This window comes from Homo sapiens, chromosome 14 (assembly GCF_000001405.40).
Source record: "Homo sapiens chromosome 14, GRCh38.p14 Primary Assembly".
Lineage (NCBI taxonomy): Eukaryota > Metazoa > Chordata > Mammalia > Primates > Hominidae > Homo > Homo sapiens.
Window position 1 is genome coordinate 72,407,190 of NC_000014.9, and position 15,637 is coordinate 72,422,826.

Here is a 15,637-nt window from a genome sequence, read left to right on the forward strand (position 1 = left end):
TAAAAGAATGATAGTTCTGGGAGGATCTGCATTCTCTCTGTGTCCATGCAGCATTGCCCCACACTGCCTGTGCTGAGCTGCATGATCCTCATAGCTACATCATAGTCTTTGCTTGTAGGCTTGTCGTTTGGAGAACCGTCTTGGAGTCTTTATTGGTTGATGTCAATGGAAAGCTCTGCTTCCCTCTGGATGTCCTATGGTATTGCTGTTCCTAATGTCTTTCTAATGAGTGCTACGTGTCTGTATGTGTGTATAAAGAGATTTATGTAAAGAATTGGCTCATGTGATTACGGAGGCTGAGAAACCCCAAGATCTGCATTTGCCACTAAGTACTCAGATATTTGGTCAAACATGATTGTGAGTGCTGTTGAGTGCTGTATTTTTTAACTGCCACGTAATCCCCTCAAGGTCCGTGTTATTCTAGACAGTAAACCGGGAGAGGCTTCTAAAGCCCCCTTTGTCAGGAAATGTTACTTTAGAATCTGACCTTGTGTGAAACACAGATGACAGAACCTCTCTAGTGCAATGACATTAAAATCCTCCCCCAGTACTTGAAGTGCAAGGGAAATAGCTCATTGCTATTATGGCTGGATCATCTCATGGCCTCTCAACAGATCAAGAGCACCATTACTACTGTTGCTTTCTTGACTTGTGTTTTACTTTTATTCTAACATTTGTTGCAGTCTGTGTTAAATAGGGAGGTAGACCAAACTATGAGAAGGAGCCCTATATTGGAAACTGTATAGCCAACTATGAAACCTCCAGGCTTACTTTGCTTTCTCATTACAGGCGGCCTTCCCCTCTGCTCCACTGGAGAGAGTCAGAGTAATTGGCTCTTGCTTTATATGAAGGATATGCTCCCAAAAAAGTTGTATTTAAATCAAGTTTTAACAAACCGACTCATGCTTGTTTATCCACTTATAACACTTACTATTTAAAGGAAATGATAAAGAGTCCTTTTCTGTTGTTACAGCGTAGTTGGCAAAGCTGTATCTTCTGAAGACTGACTTGCACTCAGCAGTTTTAGATCAACTCGAGTCTGTTTATACTAAGATCCACAGACCCCTGGTGGTTCTCAGATGACTTGCAAATTCTACTAGTTTTTCCAATTGTGTGTTTTTTGATGATAACTTAAAAATTTTTTATGATAATCTTTTCATTGTTTAGTATAATAATGTACAGATAAACCCTAGATGATCACCTTATAACTGAGTGCTGTCATGAGATTTCAGTGCCTTTGTTCTCAGTCCTGTAGGTAACCAAGACTTCATCTAAAATCACATCACTTGACTTTAAATGTTTGCAAGACACATCTGACTGTCATTGGGTTGATAAAATCTGTCTTGTCCTCATTTTGTGTTGTGTGGGACTCTATCATCAGGTACAAAAGCAAAACTCCTTTGCCATGAGCGTTCACAGTTGAATGACTTTTTTATAGACCAAGAGTTTAGTTTCTTAGAGTATATATTGAATCAATTTGGCATCATGGAAATGGCATAGTACATTAGAGGCACATACTATGTTAACTGTCACAATCTAATGATAAAGAACAGAAAAGGACATATTACATAATCGGTGCATTTCTGTTAAAGTCATGGCAAGCTTATTGAACTAGTTTTATAGCAATTTGGCAGGATAAAAATGATGGGAGGATGGAGTCATCATAGGGTGCCTGCCCTGTAGCATGGACACCTGGGACACACCTTGCTGGATGATGTCTTCTTTGGGTTCCATCTTAATACATGACAACTGGAAATAATTCTGTAGCAGAAAGTAGAGTGTAAAATAGAAAATGACTCTTATTCTGATGAATCAAAGTTTTTAAGCCATATATGTCGGAGTACACTTGAATTACTTCTGTAAAAACTAGCACATTATATAAAAATCATAATAAAAACAGAGATTCCAGTGAGGGGTCCCTCTTGTTCAGAGTCGAAAGATTCAAGTCAACAAAAATGGAACCTGTAAGTTAGTCTTTTTGCCACTGTTAAAAGAAAAACACTGGACACAATACTTTTAACAGAGTTTATGTGAGCATTAGAGGATTCATGAATTGGGCAGCACCCAGAACCAGAAAAGGTTCAGAGAGCTCTACCCAGCAGCATGGGTAGTGAGCTTTAATAGGCGGAACGTGGAAGTAAGACAAAGAAAACATATTTGATTTGTTAGAGTAGAAAGTCCCTAGTTAGAGGTTAGTTGGAGGTTTCTGATGGTAACTTCTCTAGTTTCATTTTACTGTTCACATTGGGCTTTGGTTTGCTTACCTAGGAACTTAAAGTGCTGGGAATGCTTCGGCTTAATGACCTCCCAATTAAAATTTTTTTAACATCACTTTTATTTATGATCTACAAAGTGGCAACTGCCTATTTTTTTTTAATTTTATTATTATTATACTTTAAGTTTTAGGGTACATGTGCACAATGTGCAGGTTTGTTACATATGTATACATGGCCATGTTGGTGTGCTGCACCCATTAACTCATCATTTAGCATTAGGTATATCTCTCAGTGCTATCCCTCCCCTCTCCCCCAACCCCACAACAGTCCTCGGTGTGTGATGTTCCCCTTCCTGTGTCCATGTGTTCTCATTGTTCAGTTCCCACCTGTGAGTGAGAACATGCAGCGTTTGGTTTTTTGTTCTTGCAATAGTTTGCTGAGAATGATGGTTTCCAGCTTCATCCATGTCCCTACAAAGCACATGAACTCATCCTTTTTTATGGCTGCATAGTATTCCATGTTGTATATGTGCCACATTTTCTTAATCCAGTCTATCATTGTTGGACATTTGGCTTGGTTCCAAGTCTTTGCTATTGTGAATAGTGCCGCAATAAACATACATGTGCATGTGTCTTTATAGCAGCATGATTTATAATCCTTTGAGTATATACCCAGTAATGGGATGGCTGGGTCAAATGGTATTTCTAGTTCTACATCCCTGAGGAATCGCCACACCAACTTCCACAATGGTTGAACTAGTTTACAGTCCCACCAACAGTGTAAAAGTGTTCCTATTTCTCCACATCCTCTCCAGCACCTGTTGTTTCCTGACTTTTTAATGATTGCCATTCTAACTGGTGTGGGATGGATGGTATCTCATTGTGGTTTTGATTTGCATTTCTCTGATGGCCAGTGATGATGAGCATTTTTTCATGTGTTCTTTGGCTGCATAAATGTCTTCTTTTGAGAAGTGTCTGTTCATATCCTTTGCCCACTTGTTGATGGGGTTGTTTGTTTTTTTCTTGTAAATTTGTTGGAGTTCATTGTAGATTCTGGATATTAGCCCTTTGTCAGATGAATAGGTTGCAAACATTTTCTCCCATTCTGTAGGTTGCCTGTTCACTCTGATGGTGGTTTCTTTTGCTGTGCAGAAGCTCTTTAGTTTAATTAGATCCCATTTGTCAATTTTGGCTTTTGTTGCCATTGCTTTTGGTGTTTTAGACATGAAGTCCTTGCCCACGCCTATGTCCTGAATGGTATTGCCTAGGTTTTCTTGTAGGGTTTTTATGGTTTTAGGTCTAACATGTAAGTCTTTAATCCATCTTGAATTAATTTTTGTATAAGGTGTAAAGGAGGGATCCAGTTTCAGCTTTCTACATATGGCTAGCCAGTTTTCCCAGCACCATTTATTAAATAGGGAATCCTTTCCCCATTTCTTCTTTTTGTCAGGTTTGTCAAAGATCAGATAGTTGTAGATATGCAGCATTATTTCTGAGGGCTCTGTTCTGTTCCATTGGTCTATATCTCTGTTTTGGTACCAGTACCATGCTGTTTTGGTTACTGTAGCCTTGTAGTATAGTTTGAAGTCAGGTAGCGTGATGCCTCCAGCTTTGTTCTTTTGGCTTAGGATTGACTTGGTAATGCGGGCTCTTTTTTGGTTCCATATGAACTTTAAAGTAGTTTTTTTCCAATTCTGTGAAGAAAGTCATTGGTAGCTTGATGGGGTTGGCATTGAATCTATAAATCACCTTGGGCGGTATGGCCATTTTCACGATATTGATTCTTCCTACCCATGAGCATGGAATGTTCTTGCATTTGTTTGTATCCTCTTTTATTTCATTGAGTAGTGGTTTGTAGTTCTCCTTGAAGAGGTCATTCATATCCCTTGTCAGTTGGATTCCTAGGTATTTTATTCTCTTTGAAGCAATTGTGAATGGGAGTTCACTCATGATTTGGCTGTTTGTCTGTTATTGGTGTATAAGAATGCTTGTGATTTTTGCACATTGAGTTTGTATCCTGAGACTTTGCTGAAGTTGCTTATCAGCTTAAGGAGATTTGGAGCTGAGATGATGGGGTTTTCTAGATATACAATCATGTCATCTGCAAACAGGGACAATTTGACTTCCTCTTTTCCTAAATGAATACCCTTTATTTCCTTCTCCTGCCTGATTGCCCTGGCCAGAACTTCCAACACTATGTTGAATAGGAGTGGTGAGAGAGGGCATCCCTGTCTTGTGCCAGTTTTCAAAGGTAATGCTTCCAGTTTTTGTCCATTCAGTATGATATTGGCTGTGGGTTTGTCATAGATAGCTCTTATTATTTTGAGATACATCCCATCAATACCTAATTTATTGAAAGTTTTTAGCATGAAGCGTTGTTGAATTTTGTCAAAGGCCTTTTCTGCATCTATTGAGATTATCATGCGGTTTTTGTCTTTGGTTCTGTTTATATGCTGGATTACGTTTATTGATTTTCGTATGTTGAACCAGCCTTGCCTCCCAGGGATGAAGCCCACCTGATCATGGTGGATAAGCTTTTTGATGTGTTGCTGGATTCGGTTTGCCAGTATTTTACCGAGAATTTTTGCATCAGTGTTCATCAAGGATATTGGTCTAAAATTCTCTTTTTATGTGGTGTCTCTGCCAGGCTTTGGTATCAGGATGACGCTGGCCTCATAAAATGAGTTAGGAAGGATTCCGTCTTTTTCTATTGACTGGAATGGTTTCAGAAGGAATGGTACCAGCTCCTCCTTGTACCTCTGGTAGAATTCGGCTGTGAATCCATCTGGTCCTGGACTTTTTTTGGTTGGTAAGCTATTAATTATTGCCTCAATTTGAGAGCCTGTTATTGGTCTATTCAGAGATTCAACTTCTTCCTGGTTTAGTCTTGGGAGGGTGTATGTGTCCAGGAATTTATCCATTTCTTCTAGATTTTCTATTTATTTGCATAGAGGCGTTTATAGTATTCTCTGATGGTAGTTTGTATTTCTGTGGGATCAGTGGTGATATCCCCTTTGTCATTTTTTATTGCGTCTATTTGATTCTTCTCTCTTTTCTTCTTTATTAGTCTTGGTAGCAGTCTATCCATTTTGTTGATCTTTTCAAAAAACCAGCTCCTGGATTCATTTATTTTTTTGAAGGGTTTTTTGTGTCTCTATCTCCTTCAGTTCTCCTCTGATCTTAGTTATTTCTTGCCTTCTGCTAGCTTTTGAATGTGTTTGCTCTTGCTTCTCTAGTTCTTTTAATTGTGATGTTAGGGTGTCAATTTTAGACCTTTCGTGCTTTCTCTTGTGGGCATTTAGTGCTATAAATTTCCCTCTACACACTGCTTTGAATGTGTCCCAGAGATTCTGGTATGTTGTGTCTTTGTTCTCTTTGGTTTCAAAGAACATCTTTATGTCTGCCTTCATTTTGTTATGTACCCAGTAGTCATTCAGGAGCAGGTTGTTCAGTTTCCATGTAGTTGAGCAGTTTTGAGTGAGTTTCTTAATCCTGAGTTCTAGTTTGATTGCACTGTGGTGTGAGAGACAGTTTGTTATAATTTCTATTCTTTTACATTTGCTGAGGAGTGCTTTACTTCCAACTATGTGGTCAATTTTGAAATAGGTGTGGTGTGGTGCTGAAAAGAATGTATATTCTGTTGATTTGGGGTGGAGAGTTCTGTAGATGTCTATTAGGTCCGCTTGGTGCAGACCTGAGTTCAATTCCTGGATATCCTTGTTAACTTTCTGTCTCGTTGATCTGTCTAATGTTGACAGTGGGGTGTTAAAGTCTCCCATTATTATTGTGTGGGAGTCTAAGTCTCTTTGTAGGTCACTAAGGGCTTGCTTTATGAATCTGGGTGCTCCTGTATTAGGTGCATATATATTTAGGATAGTTAGTTCTTCTTGTTGAATTGATCCCTTTAGCATTATGTAATAGCCTTCTTTGTCTCTTTTGATCTTTGTTGGTTTAAAGTCTGTTTTATCAGAGACTAGGATTGCAACCCCTGCCTTTTTTTGTTTTCCATTTGCTTGGTAGATCTTCCTCCATCCCTTTATTTTGAGCCTATGTGTGTCTCTGCACGTGAGATGGGTTTCCTGAATACAGCACACTGCTGGGTCTTGACTCTATCCAATTTGCCAGTCTGTGTCTTTTAATTGGAGCATTTAGCCCATTTACATTTAAGGTTAATATTGTTATGTGTGAATTTGATCCTGTTATTATGATGTTAGCTGGTTGTTTTGCTCATTGGTTGATGCAGTTTCTTCCTAGCCTTGATGGTCTTTACAATTTGGCATGTTTTTGCAGTGGCTGGTACTGCGGTTGTTCCTTTCCATGTTTAGTGCTTCCTTCAGGAGCTCTTTTAGGGCAGGCCTGGTGGTGACAAAATCTCTCAGCATTTGCTTGTCTGTAAAGTATTTTATTTCTCCTTCACTTATGAAGCTTAGTTTGGCTGGATATGAAATTCTGGATTGAAAATTCTTTTCTTTAAGAATGTTGAATATTGGTCCCCACTCTCTTCTGGCTTGTAGAGTTTCTGCTGAGAGATCAGCTGTTAGTCTGATGGGCTTTCCTTTGTGGGTAACCCGACCTTTCTCTCTGGCTGCTCTTAACATTTTTTCCTTCATTTCAACTTTGGTGAATCTGACAATTATGTGTCTTGGAGTTGCTCTTCTCAAGGAGTATCTTTGTGGCGTTCTCTGTATTTCCTGAATTTGAATGTTGGCCTGCCTTGCTAGATTGGGGAAGTTCTCCTGGATAATATCCTGCAGAGTGTTTTCCAACTTGGTTCCATTCTCCCTGTCACTTTCAGGTACACCAATCAGACGTAGATTTGGGCTTTTCACATACTCCCGTATTTCTTGGAGACTTTGTTTGTTTTTATTCTTTTTTCTCTAAACTTCTCTTCTCGCTTCATTTCATTCATTTCGTCTTTCATTGATGATATCCTTTCTTCCAGTTGATCACATCGACTACTGAGGCTTGTGCATTCGTCACATAGTTCTCGTGCCGTGGTTTTCAGCTCCATCAGGTCCTTTAAGGACTTCTCTGCATTGGTTATTCTAGTTAGTCATTCTTTTAATTTCTTTTCAAGGTTTTTAACTTCTTTGCCATTGGTTCGAACTTCCTCCTTTAGCTGGTAGTTTGATCTTCTGAAGCCTCCTTCTCTCAACTCGTCAAAGTCATTCTCCGTCCAGCTGTGTTCCGTTGCTGGTGAGGAGCTGCATTCCTTTGGAGGAGGAGAGGTGCTCTGATTTTTAGAGTTTCCATTTTTTCTGCTCTTTTTTTCCCCCATCTTTGTGGTTTTATCTACCTTTGGTCTTTGATGATGGTGATGTTTTTGGTGTGGATGTCCTTTCTGTTTGTTAGTTTTTCTTCTATCAGTCAGGACCCTCAGCTGCAGGTCTGTTGGAGTTTGCTGGAGGTCCACTCCAGAGCCTGTTTACCTGCGTATCAGCAGTGGTGGCTGCAGAACAGCAGATATTGGTGAACCGCAAGTGCTGCTGCCTGATCGTTCCTCTGGAAGTTTTGTCTCAGGGGAGTACCTGGTTGTGTGAGGTGTCAGTCTGCCCCTACTGGGGGGGTGCCTCCCAGTTAGGCTACTCGGGGGTCAGGGACCCACTTGAGGAGGCAGTCTGCCCAGACTGCGTGCTGAGAGAACCACTGCTCTCTTCAAAGCTGTCAGACAGGGACATTTAAGTCTGCAGAGGTTACTGCTGCCTTTTGTTTGTCTGTGCCCTGCCCGCAGAGGTGGAGGCTGCAGAGGCAGGCAGGCCTCCTTGAGCTGTGGTGGGTTCCACCCAGTTTGAGCTTCCTGGCCACTTTGTTTACCTCCTAAAGCCTGGGCAATGGCGGGTGCCCCTCCTCCAGCCTCACTGCCGCCTTGCAGTTTGATCTCAGACTGCTGTGCTAGCAATGAGCGAAGCTCCGTGGGCATAGGACTCTCCAAGCCAGGTGCAGGATATAATCTCCTGGTGTGCCATTTGTTAAGCCCGTTGGAAAAGGGCAGTATTAGGGTGGAAGTGACCCAATTTTCTGGGTTCCGTCTGTCACCCCTTTCTTTGACTAGGAAGGGAATTTCCTGACCCCTTGCGCTTCCTGGATGAGGCGATGCCTCGCCCTGCTTTGGCTCACGCACGGTGCGCTGCACCCACTGTCCTGCACCCACTGTCCAGCACTACCCAGTGAGATGAACCCGGTACCTCAGTTGGAAATGCACAAATCACCCATCTTCTGCGCTGGTCATGCTGGGAGCTGTAGACTGGAGCTGTTCCTATTCGGCCATCTTGGCTCCACCCCCCCGGCAACTGCCTATTGTTTTACCTGATATGCACAACATTGGCCATTAGTGTTACCAAAGCAACATCCATCACAAGAATTAATGCTTCTTGATTTGAATTTTACTCCTCTCTGTCTCTGTTTATGTGCATTCATTTGATTGTACACTTGTATAAGAACTAAAAGCATAAAAAGTTTATTCCTACATCTGGCACAGCTCACGTCTGTAATCCCAGCACTTCGGGAGGCCAAGGCGGGCAGATCATGAGGTCAGGAGTTCAAGACCAGCCTGACCAACGTGGTGAAACCCCAACTCTACTAAAAATACAAAAATTAGCCAGGTGGGGTGTTGCGTGCCTGTAATCCCAGCTTCTCAGGAGGCTGAGGCAAGAGAATTGCTTGAACCCGGGAGGCGGAGGTTGCAGTGAGCCAAGATCGCACTGCACCCCAGCCTGGGTGACAGAATGAGACTCTGTCTCAAAAAAAAAAAAAAAAAAGTTTATTCCTAGTTTTACATTTGTAGCATTGAAATTAAAAGAATCTAAATAAATAACAGAGCACTGTGAGAATTTGTTGTTTAACAGAGCTCTATATGCATTACACAATTTCAAGGAACATTGATCTGAATGTTCCTATCCCTCATGGACCTTGAGCCCTGACAAAAGTTAATAAAGATGGGTCTCCTTTTCTTCTTGTCCCCTGCTTTCAGCTCTGAATGAGAAAAGTTTTGCAAATATGTCGGTACTTTGTATTAAGCCTAAAACTTATAAAGTATCAGATTTGTAAGTTGACTGTATTAACTTTAATTTCTCAAAGTGTTCTCAGTTAATTAGGTTAACCTAAAACTAAAACTATAAAGTGATTCCTCCCCTACCAAGAAAAAAAAAATTAAGCTGAAATCCTCTGTTTAGAGTTTCAGGCCTTTGGGCTGGACTCCACAACCCTTCTCAGGAAGTAGCAGTAGACACCTGACCTTAGGCTGTAGTGCTAATATAACCTGTGTCAGTAGCTGCCCCATTGCAAACAAGGAAATGATCCTCTGAAGTCAAACTCAGGAAGGAACAAGAACCTGTCTCTCTGAGCTCTCTAAAGAGTGTGGTTAAGAGTATGAGCATTGACAACAGACTGCCTAGGTTCAGATACCACCTCTGATGCCAGTTATGTGATTTTGGGCCAGTTTCTTAATCTCTCAATGTCTCAACAACATGAGTCTAATAATAGCATATATACCCCTATAACCATGGCATGAGGATTAGACAGGTTGATTGGTGTGTATAAAACACTTGGAACAGGGCCTGGCACAGGGTATGCCTTAGTAGATGTTAGCACTGCATCACGACTGCTACTATGATTACCGTCCCTGTCACTGTTGCTGCTGCCACCACAGGCAGGTCAGTGGAACGTCACCCTTCAGGGATTTATCAGCGCCACTCCCTAAGCATGCCACCTGCATGAAGGGCAGACATGAAATTGTGCCGCCAGCGTTCTGGTTTCTTCAGCGCTCCCTGCCAGCTGAGCTGTGTGAAAAGCACTCAGCTATGAAAAAATGAGAAAGATTGATTGAAATGTTGGTGAGGTCATTGTCAAATATTCTCTGTCAACTGAATGACTGCAAATAGGGAGATGACTGCCCCCCCACCAAGTCAGCCTAGGAGGGTTCAGTCCTTCATTTATTCATTCACACATCACTCCTTCACTGTGCCAGCCAGCCATGACAATTAAGTGCATTTGGGAGGAGGTGGCAGCTGAGCTGGAAAGGGGGTTTGGCATTATGCTGGGAAGGTGTAAAAAGCCAGGCTGAAGATTTGGGCCGTCTTTTTTTTTCCCCCAGATAGTGGGGAGCTGGATTTGGAGACAAGAAACCTTTGTAGACCCTCTGGCACTCTCTATTGACAGATCACTGCTAGGAGGCAGTGTGACTCGGAGAACCGCATGGGCTCCGCCACCAGCTCTGGGTTCCGCACTCATTAGCCAGATGACCTTGGGCTCATTATTTAGCAAGCCTGCACTTCTGTTTCCTCACCTACAAAATATGCATAAAATAGCAGTACATACCTCACGGAGTTGTTCTGGGGCTTAAATGAGTTCATCTGTGCAAACATTTAGACGAAGTGCTTGACATAATCAGAGCTATGTAGGTGCTGTTAATTCTTCTTTGCCCCACTGGTCCCCAGGTTCCATATCTGTAACAAGAAGCAACTGGACCACATAATTTCACATCCTTTTATACCCAAGTTTTTGATCAAGAGAGCTCAGGCTGTACTTTAAGCTTAATGTGACAGTGATTTATAGCATAGCTTGGGGGCGATCTGAACACTTGGGGGCAGAAAAACAAGTTAGGCTTTCCCTGTTTCCATCATTCTCCCACCTTTCCTCCATCTGCCTGTCCCCACCTGGACATACATGCCAAAAGCCACGGCCCATTTTACTAGATCTAGGTAGTATGGGAAAAGACCATGAAGCGGACACATCATCTGTACTGCCAGTGTCTCTCTTCAAAATAAACTTTTTTTTTTTTTGAGCCTGAATCTCACTCTGTTGCCCAGGTTGGAGTACAATGGCATGATCTCAACTCACTGCAACCTCCACCTCCCGGGTTCAAGCAATTCTCCTGCCTCAGCTTCCCAAGTAGCTGGGATAACAGGCACCTGCCACTACAGCCGGCTAATTTTTGTATTTTTAGTAGAGATGGGGTTTCACCATGCTAGCCAGACTGGTCTCAAACTCCTGACCTCAAGCAATCCACTTACCTTGGCCTCCCAAAGTGCTAGGATTACAGGCATGAGCCACCGCGCCCGGCCCGCTTCAAAATAAACTTCTTTACCAGGAAATAGGATTAAGAGGAGGTAGAAGGAAATTAGAGTAGGATCAGAAAGATAGAAAAAGGAGTTTTCTCTGAAACAATAGGACAGCCAGATACAGGCTGAGCAGGCCCAATGATGGATAGAGAGGCACATCCACTGCTGAGCTCTAACCTAGAGAGAGAATGTCTCAAAACTCCTTGCATGGAAGGTGCCTGGAAATGTATTTATTCTCCTGTTGTTTATTCTCACCTCTCTTCATTCCTTTTTCTTTCTTCTGTCCTTGAATCGCAGCAGATAAAAAGACAAATCTGCTGAGAGGATGCATGTCACAAGTGGTCAGATGAATTACAGCCATAGCACCATATAGATAAGAGGCAAGGCTGGCGCCTGGGCAGGTCTGAGAGGGTCCAGGAGGACACACACCATATCAAATTGTGCAATTTAGCAAATGGCTGGTGGCAGACTGAAATGATAGTTAATCTGTTTTCCATGCACTAAAGGCTTTTGCCAAACTAAGATTTGCTGTGAAGACCCAAAGCTGGAGCCCACCCAGGGAGCGGGCTGCCTTGGATGCGTTTCCCAGCCTTCTACAGTGGATGCCAGTAAAACTAACTAGAGACATGAATGGGCACCAGGATAAACACAAGGGGATATTTTGTTCTTACCATTAGAGAAGGATACTGCTAACTGGCAAGAAGTCCCATGGTTGTTATCTTTTGATTAGTAGTAGTAAAAATACTATTTAAAGCTAGTAGCATTTTTTGAGAGCTTGCTTTACACTGGGTACTTTTTCAAGTGTCTTACAAGTATTCGCTCATTTTATCTGCACGGCAGCTGTATGAAGAGAATACTGTCATTATCTTCACTGCATAGGTGAGCAATGGAGGCACAGAGAAGTTCAGCAACTTGTCCAAGCTCTCATAGCTGGGAAGTGGCAGAGCCAGGCTTTGAACTCAGGCAGTCTGACTCAGAGTCCAAGACTGCCGGCCTGAATTGTAGGAGAGAGACAGTGCGGGTATACCAGGAACCAAATCCTATCGGCTGAACATCAGTGTTTAAGTCGAGCCCAGATGCTCTGCACAAAATACAATGTGTCTGTGCACATGTGACTGTTAATCAGCCATTTCCTTGGTTCCTGCTTTGTGCTGGCCACTGAGCTGGACCCTGTGGGATGGATAAATCAATGTCAGTCATGCCCCTGGAGACCTGGCTGTTGCAAAAAGGCTCCTGAAATCATCATAACCCAAAAGAGAAAAGGGCAGGTGCTGAAGAGAAGTATAGGTAAAGAGCAGCAAAATCATAAAGGAGGGGAGACTCTTTGCCTCTGTGGTATCAGGGAATGCTTCTCAGAGCGGGTGGCGTTTGCCCTGAGACTTGAAGTAGGAATTTAAAAACATAGAAATGCAGTGGAACGGGAAGAAGGACATTCTAGGTGGAGAGAAGTAGAGCAAAATGGTCCAATCTGCCCCCCTAAGGGTGTGAGACAGAGAAGTGGATGGGAAGGCCAGGAAGGCTGTCGCCATGTGGGCCGAACATGGGGAGGGAGGTGTTTGTCAGAATCAGAATGGACTCAGAGGGAAGCTGAGCTAAAAGCTTCAATTTACAGATGAAAGAAGAAAGAATTTGGATATGTGACTCACTCAGTGTACCAAGTTCGTGGCAGAAGTAAGTCTCAAACCCCAGGCTTGCCTCCAATTTTCTTTGCACTGATCTCCTGGCATAAACATGTGGCTAACAAGGGTCTCACAATGCCAGGAGGGTGTTACGTTTTTATAACCTGTTCTATTTGAGGGTCTCCAAAATTACATATTTGAAGTTAATATTAGCCAGATGCTAACTGTCTGCAGGCAAGAATAAGCACCCACTTTACATTGGGAGAAGCTAGAGATTTGGGAATCAGGATTTGCTGCAGATACTTTGAGGAATCTAGGCCTCTAATCCACAGTCTCCTAAATTCTGGAACTTCTGGCTTAATTACACTTTTTAATAACCAGTCATCATTGCTGCATAATTTGTGAGGTCTGGTATAGTATGATTCCTGTTCCCTTCAGCTAACCCTGCCCCCACCCCCATCCTTTAATAAACGTAAAACTTTTCTTTCCTGTGAATTCATTTTTTTCCCTTTTATCTTTTGGACCTTTGCAATTAACATATTAATATTTAATTCATATTACCTGAAGGTCCAAGAACACTTTTAAACTCATGAAAAACCTTCACTAGTAATTTAGCTGCTACCAAGGTATCCCTGAGCCCTCATTATTTGCCTCTGGAAAATGCCGTAAACGACATCTAACAGGCTTCAGCTCTGTACCTCTACAAATAAGAAATTAAGCAGTATTCAGAACGCCATTGATTATTAATTTAAAAGAAATCAAAAATCAATATCACATTCCTGTAACCTGGCAGTTTTTCTTAACTGAAGGCAGTTGCCTGCAGAAGCCTTGTGGCTTTCCAGAGCAACGGCGCCCCTTCGTGGTGATAATGTGAACTGCACCCCAGGCGTGATTGAAAATAAGGCAGAAAGGAATGCCGGCCTCGAGCAAGGACACCGGTTCATGCCCAAATCACTTCTGCTTTCAGCCAACAGACTGTTTCTGCCAAAAGATGGACGCAGCTAGATTTTTTTTTTTTTTGTACCGATAATCTGTCTTAAAACTTGGAGAGGATCTCTTTTCCCCTGTGAAGTCAGGAAAATGACAGCAAGCAGCATGGATTGGTTCGAATAATTTTCACCAGAAATGTGGGGTGAGGGGAAGGGATGGGACTGGAGTCAGAGCAGTGATCTGGCGGGATGGGGTGATGAGCCATACGGAGATGAGGTGTGGCGCCACGGGCTGGGAGTCAGGGATTATAGAGTGAGGGTGGGGTAGGATCTTCCTGGTCATCAAAACTATGAGAAATGTAATTATTTACATTTTAAACTAAGCCAAAGACTGTATTGAAATGTCTTACACCCAGAACAGAGAAGTGGTATCACCAAAGTTCAGAATTCCCAGCTCTAACGTGATGCCTTTGGGGACTGCCTCCCCACCCCAGGCTGACCTAACACACCCCTTTGAGAAAAGAGGATTTAGTTTCTCCTGACTGTGAATTGAATATGTGGGATGTGCCCCTCCAGGAGCTTCTAAAATCACCTCTGCTTTGACCTTGAGGGGCCGTGGTAGAGGGGAGACAGCACCGGCTTAGAAACCCCACGGCTCGGCTCTAGTCCCAGCATCAGTGGAGCACCAAGGGGAGAAAGTATTCATCACTGAGGTATTTTATGATATGTATATTGTTCCTGGGCAGTTGCACCCCTTATCGCCTGCACCCTGTGTACAGCTCCCCATTCCTCCTCCCTTGGAGGCCACTGTGCTATGTAACTTGCTGTGGGCTGCAAGAAAGACTGGGCTCCCGTTTCCTCTTCTGAAAGGCAGGAATCATGCTCCCGGCTGACCTCACAGAATCATTCCACAGATTAAATGGCGATATGGCTTGTCTGTGTTCACACTCAAATCCACATGTTGTGGGAGGGACCTGGTGGGTGGTAATTGAATCATGCGGGCAGGTCTTTCCCATGCTGTTCTTGTGATACAGAACAAACCTCATGAGATATGATGGTATCATAATGGGGGGAGGTTCCCCTGCACAAGCTCTCCCTTTGCCTGCTGCCATCTATGTAAGACATGACTTGCACCTCCTTGCCTTCTGCCATGATTGTGAGGCCTCCCCAGCCACGTGGAACTGTAAGTCCATTAAACCTCTTTCTTTTGTAAATTGCCCAGTCTTAGGTATGTCTTTATCAGCAGCATGAAAATGGACTAATACAAATGGGATGTAAAAATAAAATTCTTATATACTTAGAACGGCAATATGAGCTTTACATCTGAGTTATGCTATAATATCAATCAACATATATAATAATATAAAGTAGTATATTTATTATAAGTTATAATAACAGAGTGAGATAGCTTAGTAATTTCTTGTTAGTATCTGCAATCTTGGGGAAAACAAATCTAGAGAAATAAGTCCAAACTGGAGCTGCAGAGTCAAGTGGGCGAGAGAAAGAAGTCTCGCTTTTTTTGTTTTCCAGGAAAGCTCAGGTCCAGTTCAGCAGGCCAGCCCAAGAGACTGGGAGAGCCCTATGTACTCAGGAGAGCAGCCTCACCCCTCGTCCTTGTCCAAGATTGGGGAGTGGGTGCCCACAGCTTGTATGTGTCCCCATGAGAGTGGGTGTCATTATGAGGAGCATCAAAGGGCCAAGCACAGTGGTGACAGATGTGGGGGAATTTGCCATTCTGAGGGCAGAGGAGGTCAAACACAAGTGGACTCGCTTATTAAGCCCAGAAAGAGAACTGGGAGAGGAAGGCCAAGTGAG

General features: G+C 42.8%; 1 protein-coding gene and 1 long non-coding RNA gene across 55 annotated transcripts in view; one reads left to right on the forward strand and one right to left on the reverse strand.

Annotated features, from left to right (window-relative positions):
• The window catches only part of LOC105370559 (uncharacterized), a 36,836-nt gene extending 24,814 nt beyond the window's left edge, over positions 1–12,022 (reverse strand). The window contains exons 1-2 of one of the 2 annotated variants that reach the window (XR_944018.3): positions 11,946–12,022; positions 10,532–10,659 (exon numbers count right to left, since the gene is read on the reverse strand). This is a non-coding gene — a long non-coding RNA (uncharacterized LOC105370559). Of the gene's footprint in view, positions 1–1,703; positions 9,377–10,531; positions 10,660–11,945 lie in introns of those variants that run through there. The other variant, XR_944019.3, reaches the window with a different exon arrangement.
• The window catches only part of RGS6 (regulator of G protein signaling 6), a 762,695-nt gene that overhangs the window by 539,855 nt on the left and 207,203 nt on the right, over positions 1–15,637 (forward strand). Inside the window, exons 1-2 of one of the 53 annotated variants that reach the window (XM_024449764.2) lie at positions 13,432–13,996; positions 14,399–14,535. The exons of 51 other annotated variants lie outside the window; for them this stretch is intronic. The gene's annotated coding sequence lies outside the window, so the exon portion shown is untranslated. Of the gene's footprint in view, positions 1–13,431; positions 13,997–14,115; positions 14,536–15,637 lie in introns of those variants that run through there. One more of the 53 variants, XM_024449763.2, reaches the window with a different exon arrangement.